General features: G+C 47.2%; 1 long non-coding RNA gene across 1 annotated transcript, besides 3 other annotated features; it reads left to right on the forward strand.

The window, feature by feature from the left end:
* Positions 13,280–14,479: an enhancer, noted in NCBI's record as "P300/CBP strongly-dependent group 1 enhancer chr7:155743904-155745103 (GRCh37/hg19 assembly coordinates)". NCBI's record gives its function as "activates an origin of replication core promoter dependent on BRD2, BRD4, P300/CBP, MED14 and CDK7 cofactors, with strong dependence on P300/CBP, by STARR-seq in HCT116 cells {active_cell/tissue: HCT116}" and the evidence as "EXISTENCE:reporter gene assay evidence [ECO:0000049][PMID:35650434]".
* Positions 13,355–17,819, forward strand: LOC124901788 (uncharacterized). The gene is made up of 2 exons (XR_007060613.1): positions 13,355–14,478; positions 16,206–17,819. It is a non-coding gene; the product is annotated as an uncharacterized LOC124901788 (long non-coding RNA).
* Positions 14,865–15,365: an enhancer, noted in NCBI's record as "H3K4me1 hESC enhancer chr7:155745489-155745989 (GRCh37/hg19 assembly coordinates)". NCBI's record gives its function as "activates a minimal SCP1, AML or CMV promoter by ChIP-STARR-seq in naive H9 embryonic stem cells {active_cell/tissue: H9 hESC(naive)}" and the evidence as "EXISTENCE:reporter gene assay evidence [ECO:0000049][PMID:30033119]".
* Positions 16,558–17,286: an enhancer, noted in NCBI's record as "H3K4me1 hESC enhancer chr7:155747182-155747910 (GRCh37/hg19 assembly coordinates)". NCBI's record gives its function as "activates a minimal SCP1, AML or CMV promoter by ChIP-STARR-seq in primed H9 embryonic stem cells {active_cell/tissue: H9 hESC(primed)}" and the evidence as "EXISTENCE:reporter gene assay evidence [ECO:0000049][PMID:30033119]".
* Positions 17,820–18,379: the final 560 nt, after the last annotated feature.

Consider the following 18,379-nt stretch of genomic DNA (forward strand, 5'->3'; position numbering starts at 1 on the left):
TTTTCTTCTCCAAGTTAAGGTCTACAAACCAGGATTCATGGAAGCTTCAAGCAGAGCCAGGGAGCCTACATCTAGGTTGATCTTTGCCATTAACTCATTGATATACCATGGGTAAGTCACTTAACTTTCTGGGATTTTCTATGTGTATCTGAAATTATGGCCTGTCTACACATTTCTGTAATCATGACTTGCCAATGAGAGAGAACTTCATAGAAAAGTTTCCACCCAATATAGAAATGTAAGACACTAGGAAATTTCTCTTGGGAAGATATTGGGAAAGTTAAAGATGAAACATTTCCTGTTCATGCTACTGTTATACTGTGGATAGAGTAGGCAATGAATGCATTGGCTAATGAATTCAGGCAAGCTTTGGCTTGAACAAAGCTTTACATAGTTTTCCCTCTAAAGAGTGTGTTGTGCCATTTAGGCAGAGAGTGCTACGAGTTTACACTTTGATACATCCTTTCTGCATTACACAGAGCAATGATATATAAAACACAAAGAAGAGGAAGCTAAAAAGAAATAGTCTGGCGGAAAAGCAAGGCAGACATCTTTATGGATCAGCAATGGAACTGACACTCTTGTGGTGAGCTGGCCTGCTGAATCCAGGTGCAGAAGCCAGTGAAGGCTAGGAGCCCACCTCCTACAGGCAGTGGAGGAGGGTATCCCTCCTGCTGGACTGAGCGGGAGCTGGGAGCACCAGCCAAGCCTGCTGCGTGGAGTCAGGGAAGGGCATGAGGCCAGCCAGCTCAATAAGGGAGGCTGGAAATAAGAAGTGCTGTTGACCCAGGTATGTCTTTTATGAAAGTATGTGTCTAAGGAAGTGAAATGGTGAATATACAGCCTCATACTTGGGAACTGAGCCAAGCTCCTTATTGGCTATAACTGATATCTCCCCTGTAGTAGTGATGAATAGAAGCCCCCCAACACCATTAGAAAACGTGGCTACAGAATATGAGAGTGGGGAGCTGGGCAGAAGCAACTGTATTATTGCCACACAAAGAGGGGTGCTGGAGAGAGAGGAAAAGAAGGAAAAAGAGAGAGAGAGAGACAGAGAGAGAGAGAGAATCTTCAACTCAAAATAAATCTGTAGGTTAAAATTTCAATCTCACTTATAAACACAGGGGCAAAAATCAAGTATAAAATGTTAATAAAATAAACTTAGCCATTTATAAAAGTAATAATACTACAATGCGTAAGTAGAGGAGACAAGCACAGTTCAGGGTAAGAAAATCTATTCCTGTGAAAAGATTATAGAGTAAAGGGGAAACTATGACCATGTCATTAAATGCAGAAAAGCATTTATTACAATTCAACATTAACACATTATAAAAAGTTCTTAGCAAACCAAGAATAGAAGCAATTTTCCTAACCTGAAATCTATAACAAATGTTAAACTTACTGAGCATATCCCCACCAAATACCCTCAATAAAGCCCCAAAAAAGACATTGACATTTCTAGCCAATGCAATAAGATAAGAAAAAGAGAAAGTAAAGGTAAACCTTATTCATGGAAAAACAAGCATAATGTCATGTCAATTTGTTTTGAATTAATTTATAAATTCAGTGTAATTTCTGTCAAAATAGATCAATGGGATATAACAGAAATACAGACTCAAGCATTTTTCTTTCTTATCTATTACAGGAATGAGTACCTTCCTTATCTAGAGTCACTCTTTACACTGGCAAAGGCAGGGGGTCTCATCATCTCTCATCTACTCATGGACTTTAATCCTGCAACTATTGATCTTCATTATCAAATTCTCTCTTTTGATTGGCTTTTTCTTATCAGCATACAAACATTATGGGTGGGCAAACCCTATGGAAATTAAGACGTGATAAAGTTACAATAAATAAATCAATGTGTTTTTTAGCACATGGATAAACAGTAGATTAATGAAACAGAATTAAGTCTAGAAAGGGGCCAATGACTTTCCCACTGCAGTCTACAAAAAAAAAAAAAAAAAAAGCCAATACAAATCCACCTTCTCTAATTATACTCATGTGCTGGGTGACCTCATCTCATGCTATGGCTTTAGTTCTCAGCTATGTGCTAAAGACAACCACATTTATATCCACAACCCTAACTCCTGAGCTCCTGGAATGCATTCCTAACTGTCTGCAAGACATCTCCATGTCTAACAAGTGTGTAAAGCTTACATTTTAGAAATGGAACTCTTGTCTTCACTTTCTACTCCTGCCCTTGAACCTGCTTCTGCAGGATTTCTATTTCAATAAAACGACACCACTATTTTACATAATTACTCCAATAAAAAAAAAAACCTTCTCCCTTTCCCTCTGACTATACACAAATTCATCAGCTTGACCTTCAAGTGATATCTAAAATCCAGTCACTCTTCCTAGGGCACTACATACATTGCACATGCGTCTAAGCCGCCACCATTGTCTGCTGTCTAAACTGTGTGAAGAGCTTTCTTATCGGCCTCGCTGATTTCACTCTTGGTGGATTTTCATCACACTTAAATGCATCCCGAAATTTTTAGCTTGGGCTCTAGGTGCTACCTTTCTGATCTTGTCTTCTATCCTTTTCCTACCTTATTTATTTTCCCAACACACTGCCTTCTCAAGTGTGTCTCAAACACACAGAACTTCTGCTTCTTGTCCCTGTACTTGGTATTTTCTCTGCCTGGAAAATCCTCCAGGTCCACTAAAATCTGCGCTCCACGAGGGCAGGGCTGTTTTCTGCCTTTGTGTCATATCAGCAGCACTTACAACAGCGCCTGGCATACTAGAGGCATCCAATAGATTAAATAAATAAGTGATTATATGAAAGAGTGACCATTAAAAACTAGCAGGGAAGTGGGAAAAAAGTTGGAGTAGCCAAACAATAGAGCTAGGACAATTTGCTTTCCAAATGAAAAACAATAAAATTACATACCGAACTCACATTGGCTAGAAAAACTTCCAGGGGCATTTCTCATTATGTGAAGCAAAACTTTTTAAAAAGAAAATATACATTTTTAAAAAGATCCTTGGTAGGAAAAGACTTTGTGAATAAAACACTAGAACACAAATCAAGAAGGGTAAAGGCAGCTTCAGCACACAGGCAGGTGAAGCTTGGCTTCCTTGCTTCTGGAGAGGCTGCAGATGAGACGGGTGTGGCTGGTAACAGTCAGTGGTTATGGCTCCAGGTCTCTGATATCATGAAGGACCTTGAAAACGAGCATGTGGATATGTCTGCTGAAATCCTGGAGTTCTCTAATGAGAACACGTTTGAGAGGAAGGGGATTTAGGACAAATTTAAAAACCTACTTTATAAGAGGCAATGCATACATCCCTCCAAAGTGGTTGAACATTTGTAAGGATCTTCAGGAATAGGTAACTTTAATGTGTGGGGAACACTTCCAAAGTGATGCCTTTCCACATCCCCTGAGCTCTGTAACAGCATCCTAGGGAAAGTGTGCCTCCACTGTCACCCTCACCTGCCACCTGCCATGAGCCATGCGGTGAGCAGGGTGATGTAGCCTGAAGATGTGATGGGTCTTGGCTCTGCCGTGTGACATCCACACACTCCGTTCACTAAATGCAGATGACAATAGAACTTGTCCCTCTGGGCCCTTAGGGCCTTAATAAGTTAACAAGAGTGAAGTCCAAGCATCATGGAAAATAGCAGTTTATTTGTGCCTGGATAAGAACAAGGTCTCAGTGTGAGCAACATGTCTTATTTGACAGAGACTGACAAACCTCTTGGGACAGGACTTAAAGATAAACTAGGAAAGCTCAGTGGAGACTGTCTGCAGGCATCAAGGGCTGCTCAGTTTCATCCAGGAGGCCTGGGAATGATGAAAACGCAGGCTCAAGAGTGCTCTGAGGCTATGCAGACAAGGGATCCACAAGACTGTTCACTCCTTGGCTGATTGCGTCCAGAAGAGGCAGGTGGGGCAATGAGAAAAGAGGGTTTTCTGCTCAGCCTCCCTGGCCTGAAGCACAGCAGGGTTATTCTTAGCGGCAGCCTTACCATCAGGGTTAAAATTCCACAAGCCTCTGCTGTCTTCCATCCATCATCGTTTCCTATTTACAAGGCAATCTTGTGCTCCAAGCTACAGTGAAACAGAGCTTCTTGCTGGGATGCATTACAGTAATGCTTTGTAAGTGAGCTTGTGAGGTTGCAGGATCTTAGGATCTTGCCTCAGAACTTCGAAGCAGCATGAAGCATCTAAGCACAGCTCTGTGGAGCACAGAAAATTTGAAAAGAGCACCTCATTCTTGGCTCCTGAGGAAATGGCATTTGTTTGCGTCTGTAAGGAAACCACACAGGGCAGTGTTTACAAGTATTTCGATTAAACACTGTCTCACGCACACATGCACATGCATGCACACTCTCACACTCACACACGTGCGCTCACACACAAGCGCACACATGCACACACGACCACACAAGCATTCACACACTCACGTATGAACACAGGCACACTCGTGCACACGCATGCAACTCAAACACTCACCGAGGAAAGACCAGTGTAGCCCAGGCAAGAAACTGATTCAACCAACTGCTCATGACGTATGTGCGCCATTCTGCTCCTCTTCCTTATGCCATCTTTCAAGCCCCCTCTGAGATGTAAGAGAGAAGGCTGTGAAATAGGGAGGGTGTCATCTCCCTGATCTAGACTTTGGGATTCCCCCCAAACAGCACAGAAGGAAAGATGCTGTGTTGTTCACGCACCATCGAGGGACAAGAGGGTCAGAAAAGGGACTCATTCATGGAGACTTGGGCTGAAGGAACACCCGGCAGGCATATGTCCTCTGCCCGGAGCCCCAGTGCCCTGGTGGCTGCCCCTGCCATGGGGAGGGGCTGTCACAGGGGCTCGGTCCTCTCTTTCCTCTTGTCGATGAGGTCAGAGGAGCTGGATGGACAGAAGTGCTGGGGGAGACAGTGGGGCTCAGGAGTTCAGCGCCCACTCTGGTCTCTGTCATGCTGTGTTCAGGTCTCACAGGCACCCCGAGAGACAGGTCCCAAAGCTGAGGCTCACAGACCTTGAGCAACTTTTCCAAGGCCACACGGTCCATTCATGATGTTATTAAAACTATACTTGGCATGTAAATTAGCAATTTACAAAATGAAAAATGCAATAAGCTATTGGAACGTAAGAAAATGCTCATCCTCACTAGTAAACAAACACCAATCAAAGTAATAATGAGATCATTTTTGCCCATTAAACCGGCAGGGATTTTTTAATGCTAACATGTTATTTTAATAAGCGTATATTAGTAGAGGGGAGTATAAATCAGTTCACCCCTTTGGGGGATGGTTTGTATATTTATTTTAAAACGTTAACATTTTTATCTAAAACAATGTGTAATATTTAACTTATTTAAATTACTTATTTAAAAAAAGCTCATGGCTTTTGATCTGGAAACCCCGACTCCAGAAGGCATACTGAGGCTCTGCTCAATTTGCCTCCTTCCACCTGGGAAGTGTTGGGTTGCACTCGTCCTCACCCACCCAGGGGAATCCCTGGGAAGGCTGGAGGGAAGCGACCATCTAATTGGGTTGTTCTGCTGGCTCTGGGTGAACAGGGACAGCCACTTCCTTTACATGGGTCTTGGTGTTCTCCTCCATAAGTGAAGAGGCTCAGCTGAGACTGGCCCTAAAGCCCCAGCTCTGGTTTCTAGAAGAATTCTGAGATTCCGTGGCAGCACCTGGTTCTGAGGAAAGCCTCACTAAATATACCCAAATCTGTGTTAAGAGAATATTTCACCATCCCTTTCAGAGGAAAAATAGAACACAGTGATGAACAATGACAGGAAGTGGTTTTTTGATACCCATATTCCGCATGACCTGTAAGTATGAATATTACCTCTTTTTGTCAGCTGCATTGGAAAAAATAAATTACCACCAGTCAATCTCTTACAATAATAAGAGCAAGGCATGGCTTAATTGCTTCAGTTAAGTGTTCATAACTTCGCCAGTGCTCATAAATGCCATTACACATCAGGCCACTGAAACAGACCTGTTGATTTATTAAATGACGATGGGCAGGGGGCAGGGGCAGTTTCTTTTATGAGTTAAGACATAGAGTTAAGATACCTCGATGGTTCAGTCTGGTATCAGGCATGGGTTCTTTCAGTAAGGATAAATGCAAAAAGATAATAGAAAGTTCTCACGGTGATGGTGGTGGAATTAGGGTGCAAGAGGCTGTGGTCATTCTAACCTAAAATGTACATAATAATGATCCTACATTCAACAGGAAATGTGTTGATAATTTTTGTTTCCCCCCATTTAAGCACAGACGTGTTTTAGAAATCTCTTTTTTATGATCATGAACTCCTGGTCCAAAATATTCACCAGGTAGCTTGATAATTTGCAAAAGACGATACGTGTATCCACTGAACACATATTTGCAAAGATCCTACTGTGCGCCAGATACTCGTCTACACTCTGAGATCCATCAGTAAAAAAATCCCTCCCTCATGGAGCTTACGTGTCAGTGGGCAACAAGCTCACGGTTCTGCGATGGAAGTAGCTGCAGTATTTGCAGTATTTCCGGGGCTGTGAACACGCCCCTCCCGTTAACCGCGCTGCCATTCTTCTCCATCTGCCTGGGATGCAGGGGCTGTGTTTTGGGTTTCATTATGGTATCCAGCACCTAGTGTAGCCCTGGGCACACAGCAGATGTTTTAGAGGGACGTGTAGGATCACAGAACATGCAAGGGCCATGTGAGGCCTGACATCAGGTGAAGCAGTTTTGCTCAGTAGATTATTCTTGTTCTTTCTCCTAAAGTAAAGTAGATGAGTGCTCACCTCTCCCTGGACACCAGCATCCCATCTGAGCCTGGGGTACTGGAAGGTGCCATTTTACTGGTCAGAGCTTGTAGGAGCAGAACGGGCCCAGGTGTGGTCTTCATGGAGCTTGAGAACTGGGTGCTGCTAGTGTTTACTTCATCCAGGGCAGCTTCTGCAGGAATGAAGGTGAAAACCTATCAAGATGGTGTGGGAACAGTCCTTCCGAGGCAGGAGAATAGGGTCTGGAGGCAGAGGACCTAAGGCTGTTTCACGACGACTTCCTAGAACTAAACTGAAAGGAGAAGCCTAGCTTTGTATGCTAAATAACAAAAGGACCAGAGGCTACTCCCTTTGACCTTTTCTGTGCGGCAGATGGGAAACTGGCTGTCCCCAACAAATCAGGCTGACTGCCGGTCCAGTCTTTGTTTGCAACTTTGTAACTTCACTCTAGCCTCTGAATGGTTGCTATCCACAGCCTGTCAGACTGATGGCTGGTTACCACCTCATTTACATGAGGTGAGCAGGAAGGGGCCAATGGGAAACCCCTAGAGGGTATTTGGACCCAAGAAGATTCTGTATCTGGGCTCTGGAGCCGCTGCACTGTGGAGCGTACTTTTGTTTTCAACAAATCCCTGCTTTTGTTCTTTTGTTGGTTCATTCTTTCTTTGCTTTGCTGGGCGTTTTGTCCAAATCTTTTTTTTTTTTTTTTTTTTAAGACAGAGTCTCACTCTGTCGCCCGGGCTGGAGTGCAGTGGCATGATCGCAGCTCACTGCAACCTCTGCCTCCTGGGTTCAAGCGATTCTCCTGTCTCAGCCTCCCGAGTAGCTCGGACTACAGGCGCCTGCCACCATGCCCGGCTAATTTCAGTATTTTTAGTAGAGATAGGGTTTCACCATGTTGGCCAGGCTGGTCTCGAACTCCTGATCTCAGGTGATCCACCCACCTCGGCCTCCCAAAGTGCTGGGATTACAGGTGAGAGCCACGGCGCCTGGCCTTGTCCAATTCTTTGTTCAAAACGCCAAGAACCTGGACAACTTGCAGTCACAGCCCTCTACCAGTGACACTTTAGCCTTGACTCTGGCTTCCTTGGCCGCGGTTGTTAGGGGTGTGAGAACGGTGCCCTGGGTTCCGATGCTGGTGTCAACAACTTTTACTCTGCTTCATTCAGAAGGCGTGTCCCCGGGTTCCCTTCTGCGCTCTCATCCCTTTGGGCCACCCAGGAGCCTCCGCAGGGACCTTTCCCTGTGCGTTTCGGCAGCTGTGATCCACTCAACTCTGCCGCTGCACTAGGTGTTAGGGTGAAGCCCTTCACCGGGGACGTCCTGAGGACATTTTCACAAGCTTTCCCCGCACGCTGCTGTGTTTCATCCTCACAACCCTGACAGGTGGATTATCTTTTTTAACCTCCTCATAGGATGCAGAGACAGAAGTTCAAGGGTCCAAGGCACTGGGCTAAGATGACGCGGTTCGCCGTATCCTTAGTGACACCAGGACTCCAAGGAAGTCTTTCCCTAACGCCCTTGCATGTCCCCTCTACCCGGCTACCGTGGATAAACCGCCCTCTGTCTGTCAGCATTAGCTGGCGCACGGCAAGAACACTATCGCCAGCGCGATTCCAAACTCGTGGTTCCGATCAAAACGCTCTTCTGCTAACATGGGCCGCTTTGATCTTCCTGAAAAGGTTCGTCCAGATTGTATCGTTTCCTGCAAAGCCCCTGTCAGCTGTAAATGTTGTGTTGAAGGTGGAGGCGCATCCTGGGGCTGTAGGCAGGATGCTGAGCAGGACGAGGAAACGGGCGCTTTTTGGGTATCTCCGTGCTGGGTGCCACTTGGCGGCGGGAGGAGGCAGAACTGTCCGTTGTGTAGAACTTGATGGGTCCGATCTCTCCCTTGATCCTTCATAAGGACTAAGTCTTTCCTAAAATTCTCTATTCTAGTTATTCTATACTCTGGGCAAATTTTTTCTTTCTTTCTTTCTTTCTTTCTTTCTTTCTTTCTTTCTTTCTTTCTTTCTTTCTTTCTTTCTTTCTTTCCCTCTTTCCTTCCTTCATTCCTTTTTCCCCTCCCTCACTCCCTCTTTCTTTCTTTCTCTTTCTTTGTTTCTTCTTTCTCTTTCCTTCCTTCCTTCCTTCTCTTTCTTTCCTTCCTTCTTTCCTTCCTTCCTTCCTTCCTTCTCTCCCTCCCTCCCTCCCTCTCTCTCTCTCTCTCTTCTTTCTTTCTTTCTTTCTTCCTTTCTTTCTTTCTTTCCTTTTCAAGACAGACTCTTGCTCTGTTGCCCAGGCTGGAGTACAGCAGTGGGATCTCTGCTCACTGCAACTTCCGCCTCCTGGGTTCAAGCAATTCTCCTGCATCAGCCTCTCAAGTAGCTGGGATTACAGACACATACCACCATGCCCAGCTGGGTTTTTTTTTTTTTTTTTTTTTGTATTTTTAGTAGAGACTGGGTTTCACCGTATTGGCCAGGCTGGTCTCGAGCTCCTGACCTGAAATGATTCACCCGCCTTGGCCTCCCAAAGTGCTGGGATTACAGGCATGAGTCGCTGCACCTGGCCTCTGGTCAAATTTCTGAGGGCATGAGTGCTGTGTCATTTTCTGTTCTTGCCTCTTCCGTAGAACCAGCTAGTTCAAATACAGCAGGTAGTCTCAAGTTGCTGCTGGTGACTTCAGCGATGTTCCTTTGTAAGACCTGGTGGTTTCCTTCTTTTATCTGCATGAAGTTTCCCAGAGATTGTTTTGAAAAGTATCTGCATCATGTTTCTCAGGTCATCTGCAAAACTATTTTCCAAAGATTCAAAGGAGGATTCAGGAATCAGCGAAGGGAGAAAATAGAGGCTTTTCCCCATCTTTCGTGATCTAACTTTCTCAAGCACTGAAGAGCTCTTGTCAGTGATATTTTTGGGAACTCACTCAAACTGAGGAAATTCACAGCTAAGGCTGATGTTCCTGGACTCTTGGCATTGTGTTGCCTTAGAAATTTCTTTTTCAAGACTATAGATTGCCCAGCTTCAGCCTGGACTTGGCATTTTCTGACTTTTGACAAGGGGGCCTTTTACAGTATTTAAAAAAAGGGTGTGAGGGGTCAGGTGGGAGGTGGGGAAGGGGCATTGTTGGTATATAACACAGGATAAGGAATTAGGAGATGCTGATGTGAAATTGAGTTTGAATATCAGGCCTGTGCAATTGCTTTTTATTATATGACAACAATGCTACTTCTTCCTTAGAAAAATGAAAAAAAGGCAGACACGTTACATGCTCTAGTTTAAGTATGTTCCAGATACTTCCTCTTAAGCAAAAGCCTTCACTTAACTGCCTGTTAGCCACCAAACTACTAGACTGCGTGTATCAGGGAGTCATACTTGACCTTGCTGAAAAAATGTACGCCTGTGGGATGGCAACAAGGCGAAAATTACTGTGTCTTTTCTCACCTTAGCTCTGCAGAAGGGCTCTAAGATTTTCGTAAAATGTCCTGTCCTCTAACAAAATGAAACTTCCCCACTGCTTGTTAGTATCTTTCCTTGATCTAATCAGTAAGGAAACGAAGAGCTTGTTTTTCATGGCTTGCTTTCTAAATTTTCTGTGAGTAGGAATTTAATCATCATGGTCCTTTTTTTTAATTAGAATGGACTAGACTTAAAATGTTATTATCAGCCTAGATGTCTAAATTTCTCATGGCAAGGATGGGTCCTTCTGTGTAGAATTCTTCATTTAAGGGAGCTGCAGGGATTTCCTGAGCCAGCAAGGGACCATGGGGATGTGGCACGCTGGAGAACACCGCTGTCCAGCTGCAGTCACCGAACTGTGCTTCTTCCTCACAAGCTTCTCTCCAAACCAGCTTTGTGGAGCAGCCTGGGGTGTGCTGTGGGGCTGGTCATCCTCTGTCATCCCAGGGAGGTCTGGGACCTCATCCTGTGGGAAGTCTTTAACTTTCTGGCTGGCATGAAGTCGGCCCTGTGATGGGCTGAGGGGCCCACTGACCCTGTGAGCAGGTGTGGGGTCAAGAGGGAGGAGTAGGCTGGGAAGGAGGAGGAGTCCCTGCTGCCCACCGGACACCTGTCCAATCCATGGGGTGTGTTCTAAACCCCTGACTCAGAAATGGCCCAGCTGAAGATCACGAATCCCCATCAGCTCTGTGGAGCTGCCCTGGTCATGGTCCCGACAGTTCTTGTTTCGAGTTATTCAACAAGAAGTTATTTAATGCCTGGTATATGCCATTGATTTATTCAACAAATATTTATTAAGTGTTTACTGCATTGCACAAACCCTGCTCGGCCCTGGAGATACAAGGAGAAATAAGACATATTCCCTGAGAGCCGTGTGTCTAGTGCAGGAGACAGATGCGTGTGGCTGAGTGCACCGTGTCACGGAGGTGTGTGAGGTGAAGGCTGGCAGGCCCCACAGTGACAGGTGGCTGGTGAATCATGCACGAGGTTGGAAGTGCACGCATGTTGGATTCACCTGTGCACGTCTGGAAGCAGCGTTTGTTTCTTACAACTCTTTGGATTCACCTTACACCAGTGTTTTAGCACATTCAGAATTCCTGTAGAATAGAATAGCTTCAAAAACCTTTTAATTATTTGGAAAAGAATCTATGCTTATAATTGAATATTTTAAAAATATAGCAACTTTTTAAATGAGAAAAAGAAATAAAATGAGGATCATGGAAATGACTACTCCGATATATGAATATATTCCCCTCAGTCTTTTCCCTATTCCTATTTTTAAATGGTTGAGCTTATAGACTATTAAAATTTAATATTCTTCCTTTTCTATTTTTACTTCTGGTATTGTCATATAATTTTCCTCTACTCTTAAAGATTATTTGTAAGCAGGGTTTTAAAGTGATTTAATAATATTTCATGATTTGGGTATGCTTTTTTGATTTCACATGTTTGCTATTACAAATGAGGTTTTGATACCTGTCTTGGTCAACAAAATACTATGTTTTTATTAACAATTTTTCCTTGGTTCATTCAGATAAATTACTCTCACTAGAGCTAGTGTACCAAAGTGCAAGGGTGTTGTTTCAAGGTCTGTGATTAATGTGAGTCCATTATTTTGCAGAAAGGTTAAATAAATTTATGTTCCCGCCAGCATACCTTACCAGCCCTCTGTAGGGCTGTGTACACACCCCTAACATTCCCTGGCTAATTTGATAGGCAAAAACACCACTTTGCTATTTTAACTGTACTTCTTTTATACTAATGCAGTTAATTTTTTATTAGCGATTTTTATTTCCTTTTCTGTCCATTTAGCTGCCTTTTCTATTTTTCTGTCTGCCTCTTAGTGGTTTTTTTTCTGTAACTTTTGTAGTTTGGCGTATCACCTTTCTTTACTACATGTATTACAAGCACTTCTCAAGATTCCTATTTAATTTTTTTAAATGTTACATTTTGATGATGTACAAAATTTTATGTTTTTATGTTGAATCTATTGATGTTTTCCCCTTCAATTCCAAGAAGAAGTGTAACTTTTGATATAAAATAACTCAGATGCCATCATTTCAGATTTTCGGTGTTGCTATTTCGGAGTTATGTGAAGCTGACCTTCAGTGAATACACAGGGTCACGGTATTCGATGAGTGGGACCCACTTGTGTGCCATTTGAACGTAATGTGGTGGGTTCCAAAACAGGAGCAACAAAAAGCTTCTCGAAGTAAAGTGGAAGATCTGGGAGGGTGAACATTTAATTTCTATTTGGTTTGGTAGCCAAACAGTTAGAAAGACATTTTTATTCATCTGGGCCCACAGTTCTGCAGGATTCTTTCTCTCGAGATCCCCCCTGCTCCAAATACTACTAATGCATACAACCTGGATTTATAGCTGCATTACAGCCCCTTTCTTCAGTCTATTCTCAAAGAAATGCCAGAGAAGAGGGTGGGGGAATAGAGACAAGGAACTGCCTCCAAATGTCAAGGGAAGACCTGTGTTTTTCTTGGACGGAAAAGCCGCATGATTTAAGTTTCAAGGACATCTTTGCTTTACCCCCTCTCTCCACTTTGTGTGTGTGTGTGTGTACATATTTCACTTAAAAGCAAGCTCTTAAAGAGTCGGGCTTCCAAGACCCTGTCTTCAAATATTCATTCACATTTTATTTGTTTGGAATTTTGTGGCAGTTTGGCCTCAGGAGGTTCAGAACGAGTTCTAACTCTTCTGGTTATAAGTAAGCAGCAGTTTGTCCTGGATGACAATCATGGACAGGATTGTTAAGGTCCTTGTGGGGAAGGAGCTGGGCTAATTTCTCTACATGAATACTCACTAAGTACTCAGAAGAAAACCCTCTAAAGTAGGATTCGTGAGTGCCCCATTTTGCTGACCTCAGGCAGAACAGGGGCACCAGGGTTGGAACAGGGGGGTCTGATGGCAGAGGCCCCGTGCATCACGCTCACGTGACTGCCCTTGCCATCAAAGAGCATAGTCCACGGCCAGCAGAGTGAGCGTGGCCTAGGAAAGTTCTACCTACAAACAGTGGGAGGAAAAGTGTGCTGGTCAACCAGGATTCGGTAGAGGATGTTGGCTGGTGAACCCGTCTGCCCCGACTTCAGGAGCAGAAATGATGTGGAGGACAGATTCTTTGAGGATACCTGAGGATCTGGCCAGGCCCTAGGGGAACACTGAAAACATGATTTTATTGTTCCGCAGGGGTCAGAGCTAGAAGTGTTTTGTTTTCAGATGAATCTGGAACCTAAGCCCATTCTGTAAGGAATTGCCACTTAGTCCTACACATTGAATGCAGAAAATTCTGATGGTTTAATGCCTCTCATTTGGGATATCCGAAAACAATTAGGGCTTATCTGGATTACTGCAGCGAAACAAAAACACTCCGTGATGGCCAAGTGTGGAGCTGGGAGGAACAAGAGGAAGGAGCCGGTGATGGCTTTGTGACTCTTTCCCCAAATAACATGCCCATGAATCAGAGGCTCTGGGAGAAGGCTGCTGGTGACTCAAGGCCGGGTAACCAGCGAGCCCTGACCGTCCCTCCGTGCAGGACTCGACTCGACAAGGAATCCAGGGAATTGCTCCGACAACATCAGGCCCGGACTCTTATTTGTTTTCATGTTTGAGGGTGGATCTAAGCCCTGCAACATCATCAAAACATTGTTTTAATGCAGGTGCCGGTGCCACACGTTAGAGGGCTTGTGCCTGCCAGCAGTGGAAAAGTACCGCCTTGAGTCACCGCGGTGCTGAAGGTCACTGGGCCTCCTTACGCAAGCCCTGGACCCGGCGCCCATGAACTCGCTACCCTGGGCTGCGATTGTTCTTTCTTTGGTTTCCCTGTGAGCCCCAGTGACAAACCACCGGAACCCAGAGTGACTCACAGACAGTGGAGTGTCAGAGCCAAAAGGGGCCGTGTGAGCTTCCAACTCGACCCACAGCTCTGCCAGGAGAGGCAGCTGTGTCCAGAGGGGCAGGGAGACCTGCCTAGTGACCTGGCTGGTTGGTGACACAGCCAGGCCTAAGAATGGAGTCTTCTGGTGACAGTTTAGTGTGTTTGATCATGAGGAGAGCACTCAGACCCCACATCCTCGCGGTTGTCTGTTCGTCTGGGACTCCGGGCCCCTGCCCACCTCCTCTGCTTCTCTCAGTGACACCAGGTGGTTTCTTTGCCTGGGATCCCCACACCTCCATTCTCTTGAGTGCTTGGAGCTATGACCTGTGAGGATCCTTAGAACTCAAGACTACTGGATGGAGAGGGGAGTGAAGGGGGCCAGCGGAAGCCTGCAGGTGCCTGGCAGGTGGGTTTCCCCTTCACTGCCTCAAGCGATGAGGTGGGGCTTCTGCGTCTTCAAGGATAAGAATCCCTGTGGATGTCCTCTTGGGTCTGATGGCTTTAGGCTGCAAAGCCCTGAATTCCTCTTCTGAAATAGGCAAAGATGTGGGTGTGCTCACGTTGCCTTTTCTGAGCCAGCCCCCAAGCCCACAAGCTGAGCCTTCAGCTCTGCTAACGGTGCCTGCCCTGGGCCAGGTGTGGGGGCTTAGTGAGTAAGGAGCCCAGGAGGGGAGAAACACAGTGGGGAGGGAGTCCTGGACCACGTCCGCGACAGACCAGGAAGGGCTCAGCCAGTAAACTCACCTGGTTTTGGTGTTGGAAAGAACACCTGGCTCTTGTATTAAATATAACGTGGGTGCAGGGGAAGCCCAGCGGTGGGGAGACAGCGGGGAGGCAGCTGGTGTGGCCTGGTAGGAAGCAAGGATGTGGCTGGGGCTGGAGCACCATGTTGCAGAGAAGTGGATTTGCTGCAGATGTGGCCTGGCGCGAGTGGGACAGGGCTTGGATGTGAGGGCACGTGAGAGAAAGTGGTGAGAGGACATCCTGTCCCGGCATGAGCGGCTTGGGATGAGCAGGCATCTCCTGGTGCAGAAGGCAGGGGAGGGAGAGCCATGTCAGATGTGGGTGCATAGAATGGGTGGGCTCCATCTCGGGTAGATGAAGTTGGATGAGTCTAAGGGGTAATTGGTTGGAGATATTCAATAGGAAGGTACCTGGGAATACACAGTGGGGCCCGGGGGAAAGATTTGGGTTGAAAATAAGTTTAGACTGGGCGCGGTGGCTCACGCCTGTAATCCCAGCACTTTGGGAGGCCGAGATGGGTGGATCACCCGAGGGTCAGGAGTTTGAAACCAGCCTGGCCAACATGGTGAAACCCCTTCTCTACCAAAAATACAAAGATTAGCCGGGGGTGGTGGTGGACACCTGTAATCCCAGCTACACTGGAGGCTGAGGCAGGAGAATCGCTTGAACTTGGGAGCTGGAGGCTGCGGGGGCCGAGATCACGCCACTGCACTCCAGCCTGGGTGACAAGAGCAAAACTGTCTAAAAAAAAACAGAAGAAGAAAGAAAGAAAAGAAAGGGACATAAGTTTAGGAGAAGGCAATGGGTGGAGACTGAAGCCATGGTAGTGGGTGGTAGGGAGATGTCAGGGAGAGAGGAGAAAAGGGAGCCCTGCCAGGGGTGGGGGATGCAGTGCTCGCCAGCGTGACAGAGAAGCCACCAATGAGCTGGAAGGAGCTCCCAGGGAGGCTGAGAGGAACCCCCGAGAGCCCGGGGAGGATGGCTCCAAGGAAGAGCCTGCTGTGCATGAGTGGGGCCCGAGCAGGTCCTGTCCTGTCTGCAGGGGCAATGAGCAGAGCACGTTGGATGGTTGGGGGGACACACAAGAGGCCCTCCTGTGCCACTGCAGCGTCACCGCCCACTCTGCCCAGGTCTGCCCAGCTGCCCGGCTGCCTCGGTTCCTGTCTGCCTGCATTTTTCCTCTGGCTTTTCCGAGGTCTTTAGCAGGCGGCTGTTCTCAGCAGTGGGAGCTGCGTTGCTGATGGCTGCACGAGCAGCTCTGTTGGGGCAGTGGGGGAGGCCATTGGGCTCCACCTGCACAAGGGTTGCCCCTGTGGCTGAGATGGGTAGGGGCTGAGCCTAGGTGGGGCCAAGGGCAACAGGTGAAATTCGATTTTTCTTTATCTGCAGTGCTACACTAATCTTATCTGCACTCTGGGGAATGGAGATTGTTGCAGAAATAAATATTTGCTTCCAGGGTGGTTCCGCAGCCCTCAGTCCCCGGCACACATCTGCCCCTCCCCTTGGGCCCAGCTCTGTAACAAAGACTCCATCTGCCTAGTCAGGGCCTCCTGGTGGCCAAGGGCCCTGAGGGCTCCGAGGGCTCTGAGGGCTGATTGCCGACACTGTAGTCTGGCAGAGACTGCAGACCCACCATGGCCACCCCTGCGAGGGCGCCTTGTATCACTGAGCCTCACCTCACTCTCCGGGGATGGAGACCTTCAAGACTGCAGGACCTTTGGTTTCTAGAGAGAAGACTACGCCCAGTACTGATTCGGGTCCAATCAGAAAGCCATCCTGAGTGCTCATGGCAGGAAGAGATTAATCCGGAGCATTTTCTCACATGAGTGTGGAAGAGCTAAGAACTCGAAGCAGGTTCTTAGCAGGGGGTCACATAGAGACCAGCAAGTGCTAGAGTGGGGTGCAGGGATGTCCCTCGTGGGAGCAGGACTGTGAAGCTGTCCCACGGGAGCTCAGCCGGAGGAGATGCCCCGCACTGGGATTGGCTGTGCCCCTGAGTCGGGGGTGGCCTGGGAGGAGAACACTCTTGGCACTCCTTCCTCCTGCCCTCCACCTCCTGACAGGGCTGCTTAGTGGCTGCACCTGTCAGGAGAGGAGCAGGCGCCCATCAGAAGGGCAAACGGATGGTGGGGTGGGGGCAGGACGATGATAGTGAGGACCCTAATGTCCACTGTCCTTCTGGCTCTTCCAAGCACCAGATGCTCGGCCATGTCCTTGACTTGGTGTTATCTCAGCACTTACCACATCAGCACAGCGGGGTCAGCATGACAGTGCTCCCATGGCGAAGACGGGGAGACCAACTTCCCCATCACAGCAGGGACACAGTGGGTAGAGATTTGAACTTGGATACGACATCAGAGTCCACCGTCTTACCCACAGCGAGGTAGCTTTAGCTTGTCTAGTGTGCACACATATGACCATTCTCAGGCTGTCAGTGGATGGAGGTGTAGGGAGTCCACAGGGGAGTATGAAGCCGGCGTGGAAGGACCATTGTCCTCTCAACAGTGCCCTGCTGCTGGTGCTTACCAGTGGAGGAAATGCTACCATCTCATTAGCCACCAGGACGTCCAGAAGCAAAGTGAATCGAGGGTCCAGTCTTCCTGCCACCACGCAGTGGCCAAGCACGCTGCAGAGGCCCCTGATCGATGCCTGCTGCGGCCGAGGTTGTGGAGGTCGTGTCGGGCCTGCTGCCGTGTCCCTGGTTTTGGAGAGATGCTGTTTCCTTGTGGACCACTAGCTGGATGCTCCTCCCTCCATCCCAAATGCAGTGACGTCCACAGTCTTCCAGTTGTGTTTGGTTTTTTACCGGCTGTGGGCTGGGGAAGGGGTCTCCATCTCAGTAGCAGTTTGTTCTGCAAGGACTCAGTGTTCTAGCTGACCTGGCCAGCCCTGAGTGAATCTCTTAGAAGATGAACAGTTACTTTAACTTGACAGCAGAGTTTGTTAAAGTTCTAGGAGTTAAATAAATGGTGTGACTAGCACATTTCCAGATGTGTACACACAGAACGGCAGTCATCAAGATGGCAAAACCATGATCCGTTTCCTTTGCTTCGTCCACTACAAGGTTTGCTCATGCAACTGGCTGTACCTGTTGGAAATGCAACAGCACAGCACATGACCCCATGCAGGAAAGGTGCAGGTGCTCCCCACTGCAGCCAGATGCAGGAAACCCAACTCCCCACCTTCTCCCCGTGCTCTTCCCCGGTAGGAAGTTGGTCTGTGGGTCTGTTGTGCACAGTGAAACCCAACGTGGCAGCATCTGGTGTCCTTCCATCGAGAGCATCCAACCTGCTGGAAACCCACCCTGGAGGTGGTCCTGGGATGCTGTGGGGCAGGTGGCAGCACGACGCAGTGCCCTCCCTGCTCTCCATGGTGGGCTGTCTCCCACCTGGTCCCTCTTATCACTGTCATCACTGACCGAAGCTTCCATGAGCTTGTAGGTGAATGGCCACCAAGCCGGTCCCTCCACCCAACTCCTCCCATGTTAACTAGGTCTTGAGACTTGTGACTCCTTTTTCTGTAATTAGTTCCTTTGCTTCTTAAGCACCTCTGCTGGTTCATGT

Source organism: Homo sapiens, chromosome 7, assembly GCF_000001405.40.
Source record: "Homo sapiens chromosome 7, GRCh38.p14 Primary Assembly".
Taxonomy (NCBI): Eukaryota; Metazoa; Chordata; class Mammalia; order Primates; family Hominidae; genus Homo; species Homo sapiens.